Source organism: Homo sapiens, chromosome 10 (genome assembly GCF_000001405.40).
Source record: "Homo sapiens chromosome 10, GRCh38.p14 Primary Assembly".
NCBI lineage: Eukaryota > Metazoa > Chordata > Mammalia > Primates > Hominidae > Homo > Homo sapiens.
In genome coordinates, this window is record NC_000010.11 from 46941677 (window position 1) to 46967550 (window position 25874).

At 34.2% G+C, this 25874-nt stretch overlaps 1 protein-coding gene across 88 annotated transcripts in view; it reads left to right on the top strand.

Moving 5' to 3' along the window:
• PTPN20 (protein tyrosine phosphatase non-receptor type 20) overlaps positions 1-25874 on the top strand; it is a 92226-nt gene that overhangs the window by 30249 nt on the left and 36103 nt on the right. For 49 of the 88 annotated variants that reach the window (XR_007061954.1, NM_001042357.5, NM_015605.9 and 46 more), the window contains 3 exons: positions 2242-2339; positions 4887-4999; positions 23310-23461. The exons of 6 other annotated variants lie outside the window; for them this stretch is intronic. Coding sequence is in view for 71 of the 82 variants with exons in the window: in NM_001042357.5 (NP_001035816.1) it covers positions 2242-2339; positions 4887-4999; positions 23310-23461 (363 nt within the window). In the remaining 11 variants the exon portion in view is untranslated. Of the gene's footprint in view, positions 1-2241; positions 2340-4886; positions 5000-6164; positions 6280-23309; positions 23462-25874 lie in introns of all 88 variants that reach the window. 33 more of the 88 variants (NM_001352542.2, NM_001352548.2, NM_001352535.2 and 30 more) reach the window with 5 other exon arrangements.

Sequence of the window (25874 nt, forward strand, 5' to 3'; positions counted from 1 at the left end):
TATTTTTACTTTGGGTTTTTTTTTGCTTGTTTGTTTGTTTGTTTTTTTGCTAAGTTATAGCTTGGCCTATCTAGGGTGAATTCTGATATGCTTTAAAGTTTCCTTTCATAAAAAAGGATCTTAGAACATTCCTGGATGGTTTTTATAGTGTTGGGAAAATTACCTGATTTTATTAGAACTTGCTTTTCTTATGTTTCATGAAACAATTTGATACTGTAGCCATTTTTATGTCCTTTCAGATATGATGCTGTCCCCTAGAAATTGTCTAGACTCATAGACTTGAAGTTGGTTAGATTTGGAGCATAAAGAAATTTTTTTTTTGAGACAGGCTAATTTATTTTTTGGATTTTTGGTAGAGACAGGGTTTCACCACGTTGGCCAGGCTGGTCTTGAGCTCCTGGCCTCAGGTGATCCACCCGTCTTGGCCTCCCAAAGTGCTGGGATTATAGGCATAAGCCACTACACCTGGCCTGTTAAAGACATTTTTATGCCAGCACTCATTTTAGAGGTGAAAGCTGAAGCGATTTGTCTATGATCATATAACTCTTGAGTCACAGACTAGAAACCAGGCTCCTATCTGTGTTACTGTTTTCACTTTGTCCTCATAAATCCTTGCTGCATGGACTACAGAAAAGCTAACTTAGGCTCCTCAGAAAACATTTTCTAACATTTAAAAAATTTGATATTAATTTGATTCCGTGAGCAATCTCCAAAAGTCCTGCCATCTTGATAATTTATTATATTTCTCCTTGTTAGTTCTTGGTATTGTTAGCAAAATCACATTTCACTCAATCAGACATATGTTAGTCAGCCTTAAATTTGAATTGCAGCCATCTGGAACAGTCTGCTTCTTTAAAAAATAAATATAATCAATTTGATTTTGAACCATGAGCTGAAAGATGTCTCAGGTTTAAATTGTGTTAGGACTTCCAGATATCACTTTTTCTAAGTAAATGAATTGTACTCAAATGACTTTTAAGCATGTCTCATAAGAGGGAAGTGGGATCATGTTGTGTAATAGCATGTGTCCCACTTCTTTTCCTCCATCCCACTGGAGCCACACTTTCTACATTTCAATTTTAATTATCCTGAAATTAATTTTTAGGGATTTGCCAATCAGTGCTGATTTCAAAACTAGTTCAATTCTGTGAAGCTCATTTCATTTCGTGTATTGTAGCTACATAGTTTAATGAGAAGGAATCTTAGGTGGACATTTTCCTGTGATTTTAAAGTAAAAATTAAACATACACCAAGCAAACACTAACAAACTCATTAGTCAAAGAAGAAATCATAATGGAAGTTTAAAGTATTTAGAATGGAATGTACACAAAAATACTAGATGTAAAAACATGTGGTTTGTGGATTGAGCAGTGTGTATCAAATAAAAGGTCTGCTCTATGACATTACATTTACAATTGTGCCACTTAAGGTGTTTAGGAGTAAATCTAAGAAAAGGTATACATTGTCTTTATTGAGAATATTTTATAATGTTTTTGCTGGATAGCTATATCATATTAGTGGATAATGATACTTAATATATAAATACATCACTTATTTCCAATTTAAATTAAAAAATTCATATTACTTAATTTCAATAATAGTCCCAAAGTTATTTCTGTGTGTGAATGAGATTTGATCAGCTGATTCAAAAGATGTTCTTGAGAAAATAGAAGGCCAAGTATGGCAAGACAGTATTAGACAAGGAAGGAAGGAAACGTGTATGTGGTGGCTGGGGCACTGGCACTGCGAGTTATCAAGACTGAAGTCCACTGCCCGGTGCAAAATTGGGCAGTGGAATGTGGAGAAATACTTAGAATTAGTAGATTAGATGGTGCAAGTACTAAAGTAAAGATAAATTTAGTGGCAGGAATTTTATATTCACAGTAAACAAAACATGGTAAACACTTATAAGAAAATCTCTTCTGGGCTGAAGTAATAAATCTATTTTTTCTCAAATGAAGCTTTTTAAAAATTTAGTTTTGAAAAATCACTTGAGCAATTCAATATAAATAACTTCTGTTTACATAGTACTCTACACTGTTTTGACAGATTGGAAGATATTTAATAGGGAGATATACAATTAAGTGATTTTCTAGGAGCAGACATTATACTATGTGATTGTGGTTATAATTCCATTATTGCAGATCTTTTTGCTCTTCTTAAGTAGCTATAGAAATCACGTTTTAAACCATATTTTTCTAAAACCAGTGCTATAATTTGTTTCCTTTCTTATGTCTGTAGGTTTTTGAAAATAAAGTTAATTCAGAGAAGGTAAAACTTTCTCTTCGGAATTTCCCACATAATGATTATGAGGATGTTTTTGAAGAGCCTTCAGAAAGGTATAACTAATATGCTTATTTAGTGGGTTTTCTGTTTATGCTACTTATATTCATAGCTAGCCCTCTGCATGGAGACAGTGAATAATGGCCCTGAAATGTTTAATTTTTCAAGATATAGCTTTTTATAAACTTGATTTAGCTTTCTTAGAAATATGTTTATGATCTCAAAAATATGGTAATTAACATAAGGGAAAAGTATTCTTGAAGGATTCGATTTCTCTCTCCTCTCAATAGTTACATGGCGTCAAAGCTTTTGCAAATATGCTTGGAGCTTTTGAAGTGGTCAGTGTACTTGAGGTAGCATGAAGCTCACGGTACAGCACTAAATGTTATTAGAAATGTAATCTGTTTTCAGAAAGAAAATTATATGGTATAAACAACAGGTTTATTAGTATGGTGAATTTCTGGTAGTATATATTTAAAAAATTTAAAGTACCTGAAGAACAGTAAATTTCCATTAGGAAAACAAAGAAACAAGTTTTCATGCTTATAAAATGTTCAAATTTAGGTGTTATAAGCAAAAACATCAAATGAGGAAACATTTTGTTAAGCCATATTTTCTTAGAGATTTATCAGTAATATTAGCTACCCTCACTGGAATAGCACTGTATAAGAATGTGTATATTCTTTATATTATGTGTTTTTGTATGCGTATTGTATGAAATTTATATGTACAATTTTCAGAAGTGCATTAAACAAATAATAGTAATTCCAAAGACATTTTGAGATTCTGTGATACACTAAGCACTGTATACAAATACAAACTACTATATATTTTTTGCTCTTTAGTTCACAGTTTAATTAGGGAAACAGACATATAAAAGACAAATTGATGTACAACATAGTAAATATTATTTTAGAGTAAAAATCCAAAGATTGTGGGTACAGAAGATTGACTATGCATGAGGGAGGTTTCCCACAAGCTTCTTTGAAGAAAAGATATTTTGGTTGAATTTAGGATTTAATTAAATAGAAACCTAGCAGGTGAAAAAGAGAAGAACATTTCAGGCAAGAGGGAGAAGTTTGAGCGAGGGTAAGGAGTTGTGAAAATATCTTAGGGGTAATGGGGAGAAATATTAGCTGCCAAGAGTTGTAGGGTGTATGTGAGGTGGAATGCTAGGAAGCTGCAGAAGATGAGAGGTGGAGCCCAAAATACAGTGTGGGCTGGAGAGGGAAGTAATGCCATATATGTGAAGCTGAGTATACATTTTATTCAGTCTGTTAAAATCAAAAGGATGCATACGGAGGGTCTTTTTGTTTTATTCATGCAACTATCTATTTATCCATCCAGAAGGAGGAATGCTGGTGGCAAGGTGAGGATAGCTGGAAGTGGCAGTCAGTGGAGATTAATTAAATGTTTACAGTAATCCAAGAAAAAAATTAGAAGGAGAAAAGAGTAAGAAACCCGAATTTTCTTACAGAAGTAAAAGAAAAAGGCACTTATTTTGCTAAGGTTAAAGCATACAGTGCATGTAGGAAATCAGTGGAGATGGTGATGGAAAAATAGACAGAGGCCACCTGGCCAATATCCTAAACTTTTGTGTCTGATAAGGGGCCTTGATTTATCCTGATATTGGTGGGCAGGTGTAATTAAGTTTGTATTTTAGGAAGAATTTTCTCTAAACATTGAAGGTTAGATGCAGAAGTCAAATTAGGAGGATTTTGCTAGGTAGGGTTGCAAATGAAAGTGCAACAAGAGCCAAGTTAATAGCATTAGCGAGTCAGTTGAGTATGGAGACGTTGCAAAGGAAACAAAGTGGGTATGGGCTAGGATTTGAAAAATCTGTTAACAATTAGTAGCTAGACAGAGTTTAAAGCATTTCCTATTTTTAAGATACAGAAAATTGTGTATTCTTATGATATGAAAGAATTTGTAGATAGGGAGAAATTCACGATATGTTAAAAAAAAATAAGTTATAGAAAAATACCTTAGAGGAGGCAGAAGGAATCTGGTTAAGAACACGGAAGGAGGAATTTTGAACAGGCAGAAAGCAAGGAATAAGAAAGACATTGATGCATCTAAGTAAATGTTTTAAAAGATAATAAATTGAAAGAATTTCTATTTTCTGGCTTGCATTTTCTAGAAGAAGTTACATTTTTACTAAGTCAGAGAGAGTATTAAAATAAGGACTATAACAAGATGGTGGCTTGGAATTTGCTGCCATGGAAGAGTGGTACAGGAAACCAACCAGGGACATGCTGGTATTTTCCAAACGGCTCTCTGCCGATATTAGAAAGCCCAGTGACCCGAGTACTTCCCTCCCACAGTCTAGGTAAAGGAGGGGAGAAGGTAAATAAGTGGATGGATCTGAGGCGACTAGTTTGCAAGGTAAAAGTAGTAGGAGGAGATGGAGTTTGTGATCAGACATTGGGATTTGGGAATTATTTCACAAGTGGGCCAGTTTCAGGTGATGACAATGGGAGTGGGTGGCTGAATTGAAATGGAAATGAATGTCAATTAAATAATCAATGAAGATGATTAGAAAGTATTTCTCAAATGTATATATTCTTTGAAACCATGGGCAAATATATACATTTCTTTTCTAGTGGCAGTGATCCCAGCATGTGGACAGCCAGAGGCCCCTTCAGAAGAGACAGGTGGAGCAGTGAGGATGAGGAGGCTGCAGGGCCATCACAGGCTCTCTCCCCTCTACTTTCTGGTATGACATCATCCTATTTGTAGTAGCAAGTTGAGGCTCTATTTTAGAGATATGCACAAAGATATTTCTAATACAAATGAAAGAAAGAGCTAGGGAAAACTTCAAAAATGGGAAAATATGGTTTTCTAGGATTTTCTTTTAAAAATAAAAAAATGCAATTAAAAAAATGCTCCACACCCCATATTCACAATGGCTAATTCCTGTCCTTTCTTCAAGTATTTTAAAGTATTAAATATGTCAGTTTAGTAAAATCCATTTTTTTAAAGCTAGGTATTTTATAGATTTGAAAAATAACCTGCTTCCTTATTTCCTTTTTAAAAATTTGTTGCACAATATATGCTTTGTAAGTAAAATAATAACATTTTTGGATTACAAATTATCACATGTTTATAGTGGAAAAAAAGACAATAACAAATATATAATAAATTATAATACTGAAGAATATTTCAGAACTTTTTGTGTATACGTATTTACATGTATATATAATATAAATGTAATTAGAACTATGAATATATACTTAACATATATGTGTATGTGTATATATATATATATATATATATTTATAAAATTTGTGTTTGTAAACTTGGGGGATCACATGCACACCTCAAAAACCTTGGAGTTGGAGAGGATCTTAGAGGTCATCCATAACCAACATCCCATCAAATGTTGGAAACATCTTCTCTAATGACTTTATTTGAAAAATGTCAAATCCAGTTAAGAAAATATCACCTTATGCAATTATTAAAATGCAGATCTCCTACAAAAATAGTTTATAAGAATATGCTTTTATAAAACGAGACATAATTTTTAATTAATTAAAACATGCTTAATTAAACTGAGGCATACAGTAAAATTCACCCTTTTAGCATACAGTTCTATGAGGTTTGACCAAGGTTTACCATCACAATCAAGGTATAGTACATTTCTATCTCCCCCCAAATTTCTCTTGTATTTTTTTATAGTTAACCCTTTACCCTACCACCGGTGCCTAGCAACCAGTAATCTATTTTCATTCTCTTTACTTTTGTCTTTTTCAAGGTATTGTATAAATGGAATCATAAATATGTAGCCTTTTGAGTCCAACTTCTTTCACTTAGCATAATTCTTTTGATATTCATCTGTGTCATTGCATTTATCAGTATTTAATTTCTTTTTTATTGAATAGTATTCCATTCACCAGTTGAAGGACACTGTGTTGCTTCCAGATTTTGGCAATTATGGATAAAAGTACTACAGATATTCACAAACTTTGTGTAAACATAAGTTTCCATTACTTTAAGGTAAATATCTAGGAGTGGGATTGCTGGGTCATAAGTGTATAACAGACAAACTGTATTCCAAAGAAGCTGTACTAACATTATTTGTTGCTTTTTACTTTTCTTTTCTCCTACTCTTCTTACTCTTTGTATTTCAGTTAGGTAATTTCTGTCAACCTTTCTTCAAGTTTACTGATTCCTTTCTTGGTTGTGTCAAGTCTACTAATGAACCCATTGAAAGCACACAGTGTTTTTTATGTACAACATTTCCATTTGACACCTTCTTACAGATTCCGTCTCTGTTGTTAATGCGTTTTGTTTGCATTTTTCATAGAGCTTAACATGTTAATGATAGTTATTTAAAATTCCCTGGTGGATAACTCTGACAGATGGGTTGTTGCTGATATTTTTTTCTGTGATTGCTTTGCTTTTTGACACTGGCTTCTGTTGTTGCAGCTGCTGCAGCTTCATTATGTGTCTATATATCTGATTGAGTGTTGGTACTGGGTGTAGAAAAAAAGAGACTAAAGTAAATAGAATTTATGCCTAGAAATAGTCATGCCTATTCCTCTGGTAGGCCATTTAGGACATGAGCTGGGTTTTGGTTTTGTGTTGCTCTCATTACCTATGGTGAACCATTGGCTTAGAATTCCTTAGGATTTAGCTTGTGCGCAGGGTGTCAGCTGGGGTGCTAAGGAGTTTTTATTTTTGGTCTCTTCCTGTTTCGTCCTCAGCTTTAGGCCTCCCCTGTGTGCCTGTGCTTTAGAAGGGCTTTCTTTCCTTCTCCTGCCTATCTTCCAGCAGTAGACTGGTGCTTGCGTGCCTGGGGAGGGAGGGCCAAGTCATTCTTTGTTGTCCTATTCCATTCTCAGCCTTGGGCAGGTCCTCTGTCCCTGGTCCTCAGTGACAGGCTTGGTTAGTGATACTACCCCTTCTCATGGCATCCAGACTCTGCCTGACACCTTTGGCAAGTCTACAGTGGAGAAGGTTTCCTCCCCTTCACTTAGTGTAGTGGTAGGAGTTTTGTAATAATAATGGCATTAAATCCTGGGCTTAGGACTGTTTTCTGCACCTTCTCCAGGAATAGATGGATTTTGTTTGCTCTGTTTCCAACTGCAGTGGGTATACACTTATACAAAGCAGGGATTGCTGCTCCTCCTCCTGCAGTGTAAGGCTTTTGTTCTGGGAGAAATAGGTCTAAGTGGGGCTTTACGCATTTTCGACCATGACAGTGGCTCCCCTCCTCCAAGCCTACCCTTCTGAGGGAATGGTTCTTCCCGTTTCCTGCTCTGCTCTCAGTCTTTCTTATGAGCACCTGTTGGAGGTCTGTGAACTTGAGTCTGTGAATGTGTGCAAGTTCTTTTTGTGTCTGTGGCTTTACGCTGTTCTGTACTGTCACACTGGCCCACATCCAGCTATCAGCAGTGCATTACATTTTATGTCTGAATACTTCTTTCCCATTTGTATAGTGCCTGGTATCTCTTTCTCCCTTGAACTGCCACAGGGAGCCAGTGTTCATGTCCTGTCACTCCTTAGGAGAGTCTGTCTTTCCTTAGATTGCAGACTACTTGGTTGCCCTGCAACCTCAGCTCTCTAATGGGTTCAATAAAATTTTGATTTAGTGTTTTTTTTTCAACTTATGTATATTGTTAGGGTAGGAGTGATGCTCATACTAGCTTTCTATATTTAGGCAGAAGTGGAATTTTGAATATAAATATATTTTTAAAATAAAAATAAGAACACATTACTTTGCAAACAGGAAATACCATTTCTTAGCTGTTAGAGTAAGGCCAGTTCCTAGGGAAAAGTAGATAGACACTGCTTTTTTCTTTCTTAGTACCCTCCTTTTCAGTTTCAGTTTAGGACTATGGTTAGGCTCCTCCTAGGGTCTGTTACTGAGGTCTATGCTCACAAAGGATTAATGCCTAGAAAATATAAGAAACTGCATATTAGTAAGTAAAAGATAACCAAATAGAAAAATGGGCAAAACACATTAACAAACATTTCACAGAAGAGAAAATATGAAAAAGTGGTCCAACCTAATTTCGAATCAGGGAAGTGAAAATTAAATCATAGTGAAATAATAATTTACACTGACTAGATTGTTTCCATTTTTAAAAATGTGATAATAGTTGATATTGGTGAGTATGTGGCTTGATGGAAACCATTTTGGAAAATAATTTGGTATTTTTTTAGTGTGCACATGCCATATGTCCTAGCAATTTCCTTCCTGGTTATTTAGCTTAGAGAAACTCTTTCCTTTTTCTACCAGAAGACATATGCAAGAATGTCCATACTAGGCTTGTTTTTAATAGACTTCAACTGTAAACAACTCAGATATCTGTCAACACCAGCATGTATGAATTAGATATTGTATTTTGTTTAATGTGAAGATGAATAAACCCAGATGCAGTCTTAGCAAAAAAGTCAAGATTTAAAACAAAATAATGTAATCTATATAAATTTGTGAAATATGCAAAACAGCATAAAGGGTAAACAAAACAAACAAAAGGAATGATAGTACAATTCAGAATAGTGATTATTCCCTGAGGGAGGAGGACAAGGAATGAGGTCTGGGAAGGGGACACAGGAGCATCAGGGGCTAATGTTCTGTTTTAAATTGGGTATGTATTGTTCTTAAAGATATTTTACTTAATTATTATTTTGTACCTATTTAACATTTAATAAAATATTTTAAAAGCCAAAATTTTAAAAAATTAAATTATAAAGTTAATGTATGCTAATATTTTAGTGAAAATCAATATAGAATGATATAGAGAAAAAGTTAATAATTTCCTCCCATCATCCTGAATCCTGGTTCAGAGGCAACCAATATAATAGTTTATCTAAGAATACACAAAGATATAAAAACAGATTTTCTGTTTAAAGTTTAAATAAAAATTGATGTGTGCTCTGCAACTCTACAATTACCCTGCAACCATAGTTTTTAAAATTTAAACTATATTATTATATAGGTTAAGACATATTCTGACATAGGATTAATAGTTGTCTAATATTTCATTGTATGGAAATACCATAATATATTCACCCATTCTCCAGTTGACTTTTTCTGCAGTATATATATTTACATGTATTTCCTAAGTACTGGTACTTTGATTTTGGTTAGATTCCCTAAAGTAAGATAGTTAAGTCAAAGTTTATGTTCGTTTTATATTTTAATGGGCAATACCAGATTCCTTTCCAAAAGCTTAGCCACCATGCCCGGCTAATTTTTGTATTTTTAATAGAGTCCAGGTTTCCCCATGTTGGTCAGGCTGGTCTCGAACTCCTGACATTGTGATCCACCCGTCTTGGTCTCCCAAAGTGCTGGGATTACAGGCGTGAGCCACTGTGCCCAGCTAGGATCAAGTATCTTAATATATGTTTATTAACTTCTTCTTGGATTTGCATATTTATAAACTTTGTTCATTGTTTTTCTTATTAATTTGTAGGAACTCTTCACATGTTGGAAATCTTAACATGTTGTCTGTCTGACAAATGTGCTATAAATTGTAACCCTCAATTCTATACCTTAAGAAGGGAGACTTTCATGAACATTCTTAATTTCTAAAATGTTTAAAAAGGTCTTCTTTACAGGAAAAACATGCAAATATTCTCCTAAATTTTCTTCAGAATTTTTATTCACTTATTTTGCTTAGATCACGAATCTATCTGCAGTTTATTGCTAAATATTATAGGGGTATAGAAAACTATATTTTCTTTCATATGACTGGACAGTTATACCAGCACTATTCACTAAGTAAACCACATTTCCCAAATGAATTTATATATACTTTTATCACATATTAAGTTTCCAAAAATGTTTGATCCTTTTGTATTCTCTAAATTTTTTTTCACTAACTGACTTGTTTGTTCCTGTGGACATATTATATTATTCTGTTTTGATTCTACTTATTCTAAATATATCTGGAAAGGAAAATCCTCCCTCTAATTTTTTAAAAAATACATTTTTGTAGCTATTTGGGCAAGTTTTTGCTGCATCGGTGATTTTAAATTATTTTGTTCATTCCTGTGTAAACTTGTTTGAAATTTAGATAGAATGACATGCCAGTTATATTCATTCAGGTAGGATTGGCACTGTTGTGATTTTAAGTTCTTCCTTCCACATATAGAATGAGGGGAGTCAGGAGATCATCCATAGTGCATCTGAGCACAGAATAGCTGCTGCCCCATGTTCACCTTCCAGATCTGACATGAGAACCTCGCTTGTGCCCTGTTTTAGCTGGAAACATTCAGAGAACAGAATTCTGGGAAAAGTGGTCCAGCCTAGCCATGTCAACATATTATAAAGCTATCACAGTTCACCCTGTATCAGCCTGGCACCTATATACACCCTTTTAAATGTTACTTAATATCCAAATAAGGACAACCTTATGCTTGCATCTACAGTGATAAAACTAATCTGTGTACAACTGAAAACATTCTCTCCCCTTCTCCAAAAGTGTCTCTTTTTTGTCTTGAGTGATATTCTTTCTTTTCCAACTGATTCACATTCCCTTTAATATTTTTAAAAGAAAACAAAAATATGATATATATATATGTATAAAATATGCATATCAAAAAAGAAAGAAAAATTCACAATATTTTATCCCTGTTTATGCAGCTGGTCACATGGTTGTATCTGATTTTGATCACTGCCGTCTTACACCTGTCTGGTATTCTCTTTCAGCTCAGCAAACATCCCATTTGGTTGTGGTTCCTTGTCTGATAGGGTGACCCACACATTCATTCCTCAAGATCTAAGTCATTAGTAGTTCTGCCTAAATTGGGTGGTTCTAGTTTTCTGTTTACTTAATCACCTTGACACACCCTAGAGGATCACCTGCATTGCAGACGTATTCCTCGTTACTCCATTGGAAAGCAGCAGCCCAGTTTCCCCTTAATACTTGGAATCCAGCACACTAGGCAGTGTAGTAATCCCCCTTTCCCTGATGATTCAGTAGCATATGAGGAACCCAAAATGTCCTGGTGGCGTTCTCAAATTCCACTTTAACGGATTTGTTGTTGTTTCTCCTGACGGAAGCATTCCTCACTCTGTTTAGGTCTGCATTGATTTCTTTCATCAGTGTTTGTTTGTTTTGCAGTCTTAACATATAGATTGTATATATGTTTTGTTAGATTTATATCTAATATTTCACATGTTTTGGTGCTATTGTAAATGAGACTTATGAAAAATATTTTAACTTCTATTGTTCATTGATAGTAGATAGAAATATGATTGATTTTTGTATATTACCAATGTGTCCTTCAACCTTCCTAAATGCTCATTAATTCTAGGGCCTTTTAAATATATTTTTTGGAATTTTTTTAAGTAGATACTCATGTTGGTGAATAAACACAGTTTTATTTTTCTACTTTTCCAATGTATATGCCTTTCATTTCTTTTCTTTCTTTCTTTCTTTCTTTCTTTCTTTCTTTCTTTCTTTCTTTCTTTCTTTCTTTCTTTTTTTTTGACTTACTAACTTATTGCATTCGCTAGGACTTTTGGTTCAATGTTGAATAAGAGGAAAGGGAGTGGACATCCTTTCCAGATTCTCCATTTTAGGGAGAAAGCATTCTGTTTTTCATCATAAAGTATAATGTTCGCTGTAGTATTTTTGTGAATGCCATTTATCAGATTAAGGGAGCCTTCCTATTATCCTAGTTTCCCGGAGTTATTATGAATGGACTCTTACTTTTGTTAAATGCTTTTTCTGCGTCTATTCAGATCATCATATAGTTTTTCTTTTTTTTGCCTGTTGATATACCGTGAGTTACTTTGGTTGATTTCCAAATATCTCACCTGCTTTGCATTCCTGGGATAAGCCCAACTTTGTGATGGTGTAATATTGTTTTTATGTTTTACGATTTGATTTGCTAGTATTTTCCTGAAGACTTTTTTTGTGTTTATGTTCATGACAGATATTCATCTGTAATTTTCTTTTTTTGTGATATCTTTTTCCGGTTTTAGTATCAGAGCAATGCTTCCCTTATAAAATTATTTGGGAAGTGTTTTCTCCTCTTCAATATTCTGGAAAAGTTTGTATAAAATTGGTAGTATTGCTTCCTTAAATGTTTGCTAAAATTCACCAGTGAGGCCAACTGGACCCAGAATTTGTGAGGTTTCTAAATACATATTTGTGTTAGTTTTTAGTTTTTTTTTTTTTTTGGGGGGGGGTGCTTTTATAACAAAATATCCAAGAATGGATCTTACAGTTCTGTGGGCTAGCAGTCAAACATCAAGATGTCAGCAAAGTTGATTTCTTCTGAGGCCTCTCTCCTTGACTTGCAGATGGCCGTCTTTCCTCTGTGTCTTCACATGGTCTTCCCACTGTGTATATCTGTGTCTTAATCTCTTCTTATAAGGATATCAGTTATATTACGTTAAGGGCTATTCTAATGACTTCATTTTAACTTAATCACCTCTTTATAAACCCTATCTCCAAATACGGCCACATATGGGCCACAATTCAGCCCATAACAATATTCAATTTATTTAATTGATATAGGACTATTTAGGTGTCTCTCTTTTTTTTAATGAGCTTTGGCAGTTTGTATTTTTCAGTGAATTTGTCCCATTCATGTAAATTGTCTAACTTATGGGACTAGAGTTGTTTGTAATATTCCCTCATTAACTTTTTGATGTCTTATCTTAACTGATCACCTCTCTTTTTTTTCAATTTCATAAAATGTGTCTTTGTTCTGTGTTTCTTGATCAGTTTGGCTAGAGACTGTATCAATTCTATTGATATTTTCCAAGAACTAGCTTTTAGTTTCCCTTACTTTCTCATTGATTTCAATTTCATTGATTTCTGCTCTTTATTATTTCCTTTTTCCTTCTTGCTTTGGATTTTATTTTATCTTTTCTTAATTTATTAAGGTGGAAACTTAGATTATTGATATATTTCTTTTTCATAAATACAACTGGCCCTCCTTATCTGTAGATTCTGCATCTACAAATTCAACCAACTATGGATCAAAGATATTTTAGGAACAAAGATAACAATACAACAACAAAAAATTACAAATTTTAAAAATATAACAACTATTTACATGGCATTTATGTTGTATTAGGTATTATAAGTAATCTAGATATGATTTAAAGTATTTGAGAGAGAGGGTGTGCTTAGATTATATGCAAATACTATGCTATTTTGTGTAAAGGACTTGAGCATCTGAGGATTTTGGTATCTGTGGGAGGTCCTGGAACCAATTCCTTGCAAATACAGAGGGACAACAGTAGTACAAGTATTTAATACAACAAATCTTCCTGTAAGTACTGCTTTAGTTGCATCCCACACATTTTGAGGTGTTTTTATTTTCATTCAATTTATAATGTTTTCTCATTCTAAGTAGCAAAAGGTGGAACAATTTGAACAACAATCTAATGTAGCAGTGGATTATAGTATGAAGTATAAAATCATCATCCATGAGTTCATACTGATATAAATAAATGATTAAATATGTTAATAAATGGGGAAGAAGAGACAAATCTCCCATGCAGAAGAATTCCTGATAAATTACGTTAATATTCAATTTTAAAGGAAGTGGATCATAATTTCCCACCTCTTAAGTGTGGGTTGCACATATTGACTTTCTTTCAAAGAGTACAGTATGGCCAGAGGAGTACAAAGAATAACTGCATAGTAGAGAAACCTAATAAACACTACTGCAGCCATGTGATCAAGGTCACCATCAACTGTCATACATCATGTTGATATAATATACCCTTGATACTATGGATAAATATGGCACTCTACCTCTGTGATCTTATTCCTGAAAACCCATAACCCCAGTCTTAATCATGAGAAAAAATTAGACAAATTTCAATAGTAAGGCATTGAAGAATACACCTGGCCAGTACTCTTCAAACCTATCAAGGTCATCAAAAACAAGGAAAATCTGAGAAGCCATCATAGCCAAAAGTTGCCCAAGGAGACTTGACAACTAAATGTAATGTTTTATCCTAGATGGGCTCCTGAAACAGTAAAAAGATATTAAGGAAATCTAAGAAAACCAAAATACAGGATGGACTTTAGTTAACAAAAATGTATCAATATTGGTTCAATACTAATGAATGTACCATCCAAATGTAAAACATTAATAATAAGTGAAACTTTGGCAGGGGATATATGGGAATTCTAAGTGCTCATTTTTTTTTCATGTAAAACTTTTCTAAAAAATACAATCTACACATTTTTAACAAAATGTCTCCCTATTTCTCTTATGACTTCCCCTTTGATCTGTGGGTTACTTAGAGGTATTTTCTCCAAATTATTTTTATTGTTGTAAATCTTACATAACATAACATTTACTATCTTATCCATTTTAAGTGTATATTTCAGTATTATTAATTATATTTTTTAAAATTTGTTTGTACCTTTGGAATCATTGCCAGATCCAATGTCTTGAAGTTATTGCCATGCTTTCTTGTAAGAGTTTTATAGTTTTAGCTTTTACATTTAGGTAATGGATCCATTTCAAGTTAATTTTTGTATATGGCGTTCGGTAAAGATCCAATTTTATTATTTTGCATGTGGATATCCAGCTTCCCAGCACCATTTGTTGTAAAGACTGTGTTTTTCCCATTAAATGGCCTTGACAACTTTTTTGAAAATAATTTGGGTTTTATTTCTGGACTCTTTCTTCTATTCCTTTGGCCTATATGTCTGTCTATGCCTGTACCAGACTGTTTTGATTACTGTAGTATTGTAGTAAGTTTTGAAATCAAGAAGTGTGAGTCTTTTTTCCCCATATTTTTCAGGATTGTTTTAGCTATTTGGGGTCCTTTGAAATTCCATATGAATTTTAGGATGAGTTTTTCTATTTCTGCAGAAGGAGTCATTGGGATTTTGATAAGGATTACATTGAATCTGTAGATCGTTTTGGGTAGTACTGATATCTTAATGATATTAAATCTTCCAAACCATGAACATGAGATATATTTGTTTAATTCTTTTTTCAGCAATGTTTTATAGGTCTCTTTGTACAAATCTTTCCCTTCCCCTTCTTGGCTAAGTTAATTTCAAAGTATTTTATTTCTTTTTATATATTATTGTAAATGAAATTGTTTTCTTAATTTCATTTTCAGATTGTTCATCTGAGTGTATATAAATGCAACTGATTTTTGTGTGTGACTTTGTATCCTGCTACTTTACTGAATTTATTTTTTTTAACTCTGTGTGTGTGTGAATATGTGTGTGTAAAATCCAGTAATCTTTAGGATTTTCTACATATAATATCATATCATTGGCAAACAGAGATGTTTACTTTTTGCTTTCCCCAGTTTGGATGGCTTTTATTTCTTTTTTTTCCTAATTTCTCTGACTAGGACTTCCAATATTATGTCAAATAGAAGTGGCAAAAGTGGCATCCGTGCCTTGTTTCTGATCTTAGGGGAAAAGCTTTTACTCTTTCAACATTGAGTATATTTGCTGTGGGTTTTCCATACATAACTTTTATTATGTTTATGTATTTTTCTTATGTTCCTAGTTTGTTGAATTTTTTTTCTACAAACAAATAGGCCAGGCATGGTGGCTCATGCCAGTAATCTCAGCACTTTGGGAGGCCAAGGCAGGCAGATCACCTGAGGTTGGGGAGTTCACGACCACCCTAGGCAACATGTCTCTACTAAAGAAAAAGTACAAAAATTAGCCAGACGTGGTAGCAGTTGCCTGTAATCCCAGCTACTTGGGAGGCTGAGGCTGAGGCAGAGCAGGAGAGTCACTTGAACCCAGGAGGCAGAGGTTGCAGTGATCTGGGATCACACCACTGTACTTCAGCCTGCGCAACAGTGAAACTCTGTCTCAAAAAGAATATATTCTTGAAAGGATGTTGAATTTTGTCAAATACTCTCTCTGCATCAACTGAGATAAGCATGCCTTTTTTTCTGTTAGCGTATTGTATTACCTTGATTTTTGTATGTTAAGTCATCTTTGCATTCCAGTAATAAATCCCACATAGTCATGGTGTATGATCTTTTTAATATGCCGCTAAATATTTGCTTTGCTACTATTTTGTTGAGGATTTTTACATCAATGTTTAAGATGGATATTGGCCTTTAGTTTTCTTTTCATGTAGGATAATTGTCTGGCTTTGATATTGGGATAATGCTGGCCTCATAGATTAAGTTAGGGAGTGTTCCCTACTCTTTAATTTTTTTAAACAGTTTGACAAGTATTGGTGTTAGTTCTCCTTTAAATGTTTGATAGAATTTAACAGTGAAGGCATTGGATCCAGGGCTTACTTTTTTGGGATAGTTTTGATAACTTATTCAATCACCTTACTAGTCATAGGTCTGTTCAGATTTTCTGTTTCTTTGTGGTTTGGTTTTGGTAGGTTTTGTGTTTCTATAAATTTGTCTATTTCATTGAGGTTATCCAGTTTTTCTGCATACAATTGCTCATAGTACTCCCTTATAATCTTTTTTATTTCTTTAGAATTGGTAGTAATGTCCTCATTTTTATTTCTGATTTTAGTAGTTTGAGTCTTTTCTCTTTTTATCTTAGTTTATCTAATTAAAGGTTCATCACATCATTTTGTTGATATTTTTGAAGAACTTGCTTTTGGTTTCATTGATTTTTCTCTTTTTTATATTTTATATTTTGATCTCTGCTCTAATCTTTACTATTTTCTTCCTTTTGTTAGCTTTAGGTTTAGTTTGTTCTTCTTTTTGTAATTCCTTACGTTGTAAAGCTAGTTTGTTTATTCGAGGCCTTGTTTCTTTCATGTAAGCATTTATAGCTATAAATTTCCCCCTTAACCCTGCTTTTGCTGTGTCCCATAGTTTTGATATGTTGTGTTATGTTTTCACTCATTTCTAAATGTTTCTAATTTCCCTTGTAATTCCTTCTTTGATCCATTGGTGTTTTAAAATTATGTCGTTCAATTTTCACAAATCTGTAAGTTTATCAGTTTTTCTTATATTTGATTTCTAACTTTATCTCTTGTATTTTGAGAAGATACTCTTTGTGATACCAGTGTTTTAAAATTGACTGATACTTAGTTTATAGCCTAACACATGCAAAATATTCCATGTGTTCTTAAATATGTGGTCTGTTGTTGCACAGAGGATTCTGTATGTATCTGTTAGATATACTTTGTTTATTATATTGTTCAAGTCCTCCCTTTTCTTACTTCTGTCTAATTGTTCTATCCACTAATGAAAATGGGATATTGAAATCTTCAATTATTATTGTAAAACTGTTTCTCTCTTCATTTCTGTCAATTTTTGCTTTGTGTATTTTGATTGTTACTAGGCGTGTAAATGTTTATAACTGTTATATGTTCTTGCTGTATTGAACCTTTTATGATATATAATGTCCTTCTTTGTCATTTTTAACTTTTTAAAATTAAAATCGATTTTATCTGATATTAATATAGCTATTCATGCTCTGTTTTGGTTCCTGTTTGCATGGAATATTTCTTTTACTTTTAACCTATTCGTGTCTTTGGATCTAAAGTGAGTCCTTTGTAGACAGTGTATAGTTGGATCATGTTTTTATTTTTTAATCCATTCTGCCAATCTTTCTTTCAATTGGTGAGTTTAATTCATTTATATCTAAAGTAATTACTGATAAGGAGAGACTTCTGTCATTTTGCTATTTTAAAAAAATATTTCTTGTAGCTTTTTTGTTCCTCATTTTTTTTTGCCTTACTGTCTCCTTTTGTATTTAGTTGCCTTTTGTAATGAAATATTTAAATTCTTAAAAAATTTCCTTTATGTATTGTTTTTAGCTATTTTCTTTGTGGTTACCATGGGCATTATATTTAACATCCTAAACTTATCACTCTAATTTGAATTTATGCCAGCCTAATTCAGTAAAATACAAAAAAAAAAAAACTGTGGACCTTTGACAGTTTTGACCCCATCTCTTTCATTTGTTGTCACAAAATTACATTTTTATATATTATGTGTTCCAAAACATAAAATAATGTTTTTAATGCTTTAGTTTCTCATGTAGAAAACAAAATGTTGATTTACAATCTAAAGTTATGATAATTTTTTTATTTTTAGGCTAATAAATTTAGGAAAAAGTCATCTCTTAAATCATGTAGAAAAGAAAAAGTGAAGTTACACATTATTGTTACAAGAATACTAGCTTTTATAATTAGTCATGTATTTACTGAAATCTTAATTTCTTTATTTTGATTTTTTCTTTGATTACATTAAAGTTGTCACTCAATTGTCTTCTGGCTTATATTGTTTTTGATGAGCTTTTGGATCTGAGGCTTGGTGTCTTTCATTCATTTTGGAAAAAATTCTCAGTTATTATCTTTTCAAATATTTCTTCTGCCCAATTCTCCTTCTCTTCTATTTTGGGATTCCATTTACAGGTATAATATATTAGTCTGTTTGATATTGGTTTGTAGTTCTTGGATGGTCTCTTCTTCTCTGCCTCTGCCCCTCATCTACCTTTTTTCTCTGTGTTCTAATTCAGATAATTCCTCTTGATCTATTTTGTAATTCATGAATTCTTTTCTTGCCTCTGTGAAATCTACTGATGAGCTTATCAATAACATGCTTAATTTCTTACAATATTTTTTTTACTTTAAGCATTTCCACTTTATTATTTTTATGGCTTCCATCTCTCCATTGAAATTCTCCATTTGTTCATGTATATTGTCTACTTTTCCCACTGCCTTTTCACACATTGATTATCACTATTTTAAATTCATCACTTGACAGTTTTAACATATGTTATATCTCTGTCTGGTTCTGTTGATTGCTTTGTCTCTTGGCAACTTTTTTCTCTTTTTCTTACTTCTGTGTGTACTCTATAATTTTTTGGTTGAAAACTGAATATTGTATAGTCTAGAGATAGAAGTAAAAATGTCTTATCCATGGTTTCACTCTTCATAGTTTCAGTTACCTGCAGTCAACCACAGACTAAAAATGTTAAGTGGACAATTCCAGATATAAACAATAAGTTTTAAATTGCACACTGTTCTGAGTAGTGTGATGAAACCTCACACTGTCCTGCTCTGTCCTGCCTGGGAGTGAATCATTCCTTTGTCCAGCATATTCATGCCCTATGTGCTACCTGTCTCTTAGTCAACTAGTAGTCATCTTGGTTATCAGATCTACTGTTTTGGCCTCACAGTGCTTGTGTTCAAGTAACCCTTATTTTACTTAGTAATGGCCCCAAAGAGTAGTGATGCTGGCAATTTGAATATGCCAAAGGGAAGCTGTAAAGTGCTTTCTTTACATGAAAAGGTGAAAGTTCTTGACTTAATAAGGAAAGAAAAAAATCATATGCTAAAGTTGCGTAGACCTATGGTAAGAATGAATCTTCTATCCAAGTTTTGCTGTTGCACATCAGAGTGCCAAAGTTATGGCCACAGTGCATGATACATGCTTACTTAAGATGGAAAAGGCATTAAATTTATGGGTGGAAGACATGAACAAAAATATGTTTCAGTTGATGACGATCAGGTTCAATACTATCCAGAGTTTCATGCATCCACTGGGGGTCTTGGAACATATCCCCTGCAGCTAAGGGGGAGCTATTGTAGTATTTCTTAGCTAAGTTCTAGACGCTGAGGTAAATAGGGATGGACATGACTCTTTTGTTGGTAGGCCTTCAGTGTGAGGAGTTGCATCAATTTACTCAGTAATGCAGCAGGGCTTGGGTTTGATGTTGCTATGGTTACCCTTAGTGCACCACCAGCTTCAAATTCCTCCAGTGTTACCTTACATGTAGAGGATTTGCCTCAGTGTTTACTCCACCCTCTGCTTTAGCTCTTCCCATTGTACATGCACCTCAGAGAAGGTCTTCTCCATGATCTTCTCTAATTCCCAGCAGTAGAGAGCTCTTACTTATGATTACCTTGCTTGCCAACCTGGTTGGGGTGACATTCTCTGCTGTCCTTGTTCAGTCTCAGTCTTAGGAAGGCCTCAGGCGGTACCTCCTTTGTTATTTTGTCCATTCTGCAGGTGTAGGGAATATCTTATGGCCTGGGTCCAGGATGCTCTTCTCTCTTCCCTACCCCCAATGTTAATGAGTCTTCATTTGTGCCTTGAGGATGACAGAGTTTCATGCGTTTTCTCAGGTTCTTATGCTTTTGGTCCATTAGGGAAATAGGGAAAAGCATTTTGGGCATGCTTTGTGCCATTCCTGTGGATGCTGTTTTTCCCCTTCCCAAGCTTGCCCCACAAAGGAGGATTTCTCAAGTTCCTCACCCTGTCTGCAGCTTTTCTCCTGAGCCTCTGATGAGGTCCTCACATGCATTATCTTTTCACTGTTTGTTTTTAAACCTTTCTTGTCTTCATTACTGTATGTATACATGCCTTTGTCCTATGGCAATAAGTTGATTTTCAACTGTCTGCTTTGTTTCTTGCAGAATTCGATTTAATTATAAATTATTGCTGTAATTATGTACTTTTGAGTTTTACCTTTATTTTCTTAGGTTTATAAACTAATTTTTTTAAACCTCATTCTATTGTTTTCTTATCTCCTTGTGAACTGTTATTTAAAATAATTTTTCTTTTTCTTTCGACAGATGTTGCATACACAGTTCATTTTCCTTTTTAAGCTTATCTTCCATTTTAGAATAGATTTTAAAAATTATTCTGCATGCTATATTATATTATTATTTTTTCTGTGTTTCACATTTTATTCCATTTTGTTATGAACACGTATAGCTTTTTCTGTCTCTTCGGTTTTGTTGATTGAGCAGGAATGAATTCTTCCTGATTTCCATTTTTATTTGGATCTCATCATCTTCCCTTGTAAACTGTATTTTGGAGGGCTGCATTGTTTATTTTGCCCGAGGACAATGATAAGTGTGCTGAAGGGATAGGGGCCAAGGAGCAGGATACTCAAAGGGCATGGTGTGGCTGAAATGTTAAGCAGATATCACAGATGCCCTTACTCAATATCAGTCACACCCTTCTCCTAGTGTACCTTCCTGTATGGCCCAGGCAGAAAAATGAAAAATTACATTTTCAAGACTTCCTGGTAGCTTATTTGGGCTTTGCCGATCATATGCACTTAGCCAAGATGTAAATGTGTAGAGAGGCATCCATTTTATTGCTATGCATCATAGCAGGCTTGGCGTTCCTGGTCCTCATTATAGGTAAGGTGATGTGTTACTAGAGCCAACAGTTGTGGTAGTGACTTTCTTATTTCTCCATTGTTGCTGAAGTGGTGTCATCTAGGAGCCAGTGGCTAGAAAAAATGGTCTCCAACTTCCTCAGTTTCCTAATTGTGGCAAAGACAGAACTTTTCTTGGCAGACCATTATGCAGTGTTGTTCTTGGATCATAATGAGAGAAGCATCTGTTCTTCAAGCCCACACAATGGTGATACAACACCAAATAGCTAGATCAAATCCCTTTCTGTAAACTGGCTGAAATGATTCCCAGGATCTACAGCTGAAACCTCACCTTTATACTTTGATTGGAATTCTTGGACCAGGCTACAAGAAAAAGAGACCAAATTCAGAATGATGTTAATGATAAAGATATATATATATTTTCTACCATAATGGAAGCCCAGAGATAGGAAGGATTCCAGGTTCAATATGATCAGTTGCTAATGTCATCAAGAACATAGTTTCTTTATGTTTTTCACATTTGCTATACTCTTTCCTTTTATGGCCATAAGAGGGCAGACTATGATAATTAGGTCCTTATACTTCTTTGTTTATGTGTGTACAGAGGGATGAGGGTAGAAGAGAGGTTTGCTTCTCTTTTTTACAAGACCAGCCTATTTCTATGGTTGGCGCAAATCTCCTACCTATTTCTGAATTATTCACTGGAAGGATCTTACTATGGAATGATCACAAATGGCTTTAACTAACCAGAGGGGTAGAATCGGTGTTGGGGAGTCAACACCAGTGTTTGTTACAGTCATTCTACATTTTCATTTTTTTCTCTCTTCATTCTCCCAGCTTTTGTACTAGCAAAGGTGGAACACAATGGGAAGATCTAAGGGTTTTTCTGTTGGGCATCAAAGATGATCAAAATGGCTTCTACGCTTGTGGGAATTTTATCTCCCCTTCCAGCCTGCTTAGACCTCCTCTCATACTAAGGTTAGGGATATTTGTGAGAAATTTTAGGATTTCTGTGCCTGTCTATCCCAACCAAGAGCCCTCACTTCCAACCCTACAAAGAGCCTCTGGATATAGTGGAGTACCAAGATAAGATGTGCTTCCCAGGAATGTGCAGATTCTTAGAAATTTCCACCTCTTTCTTTTGCTATATTGTTTTGTATATATCTTTTTGCTGGTATTAACTTGATTATTGTTCACATTATTTGGCTTTGCAAAGAGATTATGAGAACTTGTTTTACTTGAACATCTTACCTCAAAATTTTGAAGCTTTTAAAATACTCTTTTACTGTTGACTTCTAGATTTATTGCATTTTGGCCAGTGGACATAATGTATAAAATTTCAGATGTTTGGAACCTTGACTGTCAACATTACCTAAAAGATCATAATTAAAAATAAAAAGATTGTATGTGTGCTATTAAATATTAATAGAATGTTCTCCCCAATTATTGGTTGCAAGTGTCCATATGTATCCATTATTCCATCTTATTAATTATATTGCATAGATCCTCTCCATCCTTGGTGTGTGTGCACGTGTGTGCGTTCATGTTCAATCTGTTTCAGAGTAATGAAACAGGACGTGAACTCTCCACATCACCACATCTCAGACTCTAGGAACTTCCAAACACTTGGTCCCAGGGAGGGCAAAAGTTCTCTTTCCTAATCCAAGCCTTGTACGTTCTTGCCTTGGCATAATTTTCAATCCATATACCCAATTCACATTATAAAACTGAACACTTCTCAATCCACAGCATTCGTTATGTTTATGGCACTGAACAGTTTTCTCCAAGGGCAGTGGATTTTGTATAATTTCAAGGTGTAAATAGCCATGATTTTTCCAAAGGAAGCCTCTTTCAAAGTAGTAGACTCTTCACCCGTGGAAAAATAAACTTCTGTTTACCCTTAAATGGCTGTGTCTTTAAGAGAAACAGAAACAAAAATAAAATCTCCCTTCACATATATACCAGTAACTTACATATGTGAATTTTTCTCTTCCTTAGATACGCGCAAAATTGTTTCTGAAGGAGAACTAGATCAGTTGGCTCAGATTCGGCCATTAATATTCAATTTTCATGAGCAGACAGCCATCAAGGATTGTTTGAAAATCCTTGAGGAAAAAACAGCAGCGTATGATATCATGCAGGAATTTATGGTAAATATTTTCTTAACGAAAGTCTATATGTGATTTCTTTTTTTATATCATTGCCAGAGGGTTTCTTTTCTTTTCTTTCTTTATTTGGTTTTAGTACATTGTTTTTACTTTTAAATGTTATATATATTTTAAAGTAATAGATGTACGTGGTTAAAAAAAAAGCCAAATAGCATAAAAGGATATAAAATAGAAAGTCTCTCTCTTTCTCTCAAGACTTTCTAGGGCCCCTTTACACTATTCATTTTGTCATTTTGTCATGCAAACTTTTAAAAAAATTTGTTGGAATGCACTTTACATCCTTAAATTTGTTTTCCTCCTAGATACAATTTCCAAGTATATTATCAGCATGTATAGCAGTATCTCATTTTTTTAAGTGTTGCATGGTAATTATATGGATAAGTACCTTAATTTATTTAATATTTAATTTCTGAAATTAGGGTACTTATCCATATAATTAACTACCATGGAACATTTGGACATTTAGGTTGTTCTAGTCTTTGCTATTATGAACAGCGGTCATCTCTCTTCATATACTGTATGCATATATTTAAATATTTTTTGAACAAATTCCTAGAAAGACAATATTAATATTTTGGGCTATCAATTTTTTGGATCTTTTCTCATCTCTTAAATGACAAATTATTTCTTATTGATTACTTAATTGGTATTTATTTGAGAACAAAAGAATATCTTTCCATATGTTTTTAAGCCTTTTATATTTTCAGTGAACTGCTAGTTTCAATTCTTTGCCCCATTTTCCTTTTTTTTTTTTTCTTATTGGTTACTCTTTTTTTTTTTGAGATGAGTCTTGCTCTTGTCCCCCAGGCTGGAGTGCAGTGGTGCGATCTCGGCTCACTGCAACCTCCGCCTCCCAGGTTCAAGCGATTCTCCTGCCTCAGCCTCCCGAGTAGCTGGGATTACAGGTGCCTGCCACCATACCTGGCTAATTTTTGTATTTTTAGTAGAGACAGGGTTTCACCATGTTGGCCAGGGCTGCTCTCAAACTCCTGACCTAAGGTGATCAGCCCACCTTGGCCTCCCAAAGTGCTGGGATTACAGGCGTGAGCCACCGCGCCTGGCCGATTACTAACTCTTTAAGGAAAAAATTATGCCTTTGTGTGTCTTACACGTAGTATTTTTTCTGCTGTTGTTTGTGTTACACACAGGTGCACATGCATGTGCACACACATGCCTATTTACCATGAAGAAATAGCTGATTTTTAGTGGTCAAATATGGCAATCTTTGCTTTTGGGGCTTCTGGGTTTGGGGCTTTCTGTGCTCTTTAGGAATGCTTCTTTTACTCTAGGATTGTAATAATTACTTCATGTTTTTTTCTAGTACCTTTATGATTTTTAAGCATTTAAATCTTTGATGCAGCTAGAATTTAATTTGGTATAAGATGTTTGATAGGGACTCAGCATTATATAACTATCCAGTTGTCCCAAGACTCTCCTGGAATTTCTCTTGAGTGAGGTAAAATGCCACTTTTATCATATACTAGAGCCTTACATATATTTTAATTTATTCTTGGACTTTTTCTACTGATTTTCTTATTCCTTTATTGGTATTGTTCTGTTAATTAGCATAGCTTCATATTATCTTTTAACATCTAATGAGACTCATCTGCCATCATTATTCATTCATAAATGAATTTTTTCTCATTCTTCCTACAGAATTTTTTCCAGATTAATTTTAAAATTGATTTTCAGAAAGACTTGATCATTTTATTGTACTACTTAAAACCTTCACAGGCTCCTTGTTCCCCATGGCAGCGGTTGCTAGGTTGGCTACACAAGAGTTACCCAAGAGCTTTGAAAATGTATAGATTTTCAGGCTTTCTCCACAAATATTCTAATAAAGTATGACTAGCTACCTCCTAATTTCATTTATATATGAAACAAGATATTTTATAGTTTTAGTCTGTTGTTGGACTAGATCATGTGCTTTGTGCTCTTATTACCGTATTAGTCACAGTTTCCCAAAGGGACATGTATGCCTCCATTATTTCCACCCCTTCACCTTCTCTCCTCTTTCCTTCTAAGTACACACTGTTTTTCATATGCTAACTTCCAGTGACTCACTAAGGCCCAGTTCAAGGGCTATTTCCCTTTGAGGAGCTTTTCTTCTTGACTTTTAGGTGCAATCTAGTGCTGTCATTTATACTACTGTCTCCGTACATTGGTCACATGGTATTTGATTACATGTCCTCTAACTACTCTGTTCACTCCTTAAGGATGAGGCCATTATCCAATTCATCCCTGTATTCCAGTGTCTGAAACAAGGCCAGATACCTACTAAATGCGTAATAAGTGTTTGTTGAATTCACACTTGGTAAAGAAATTTTTTGAAAGGAAGGATTCTTAGGGTCCTAACTATAATTTCTTCAAAGGGGAAGGGTAAATTGTGAGACTG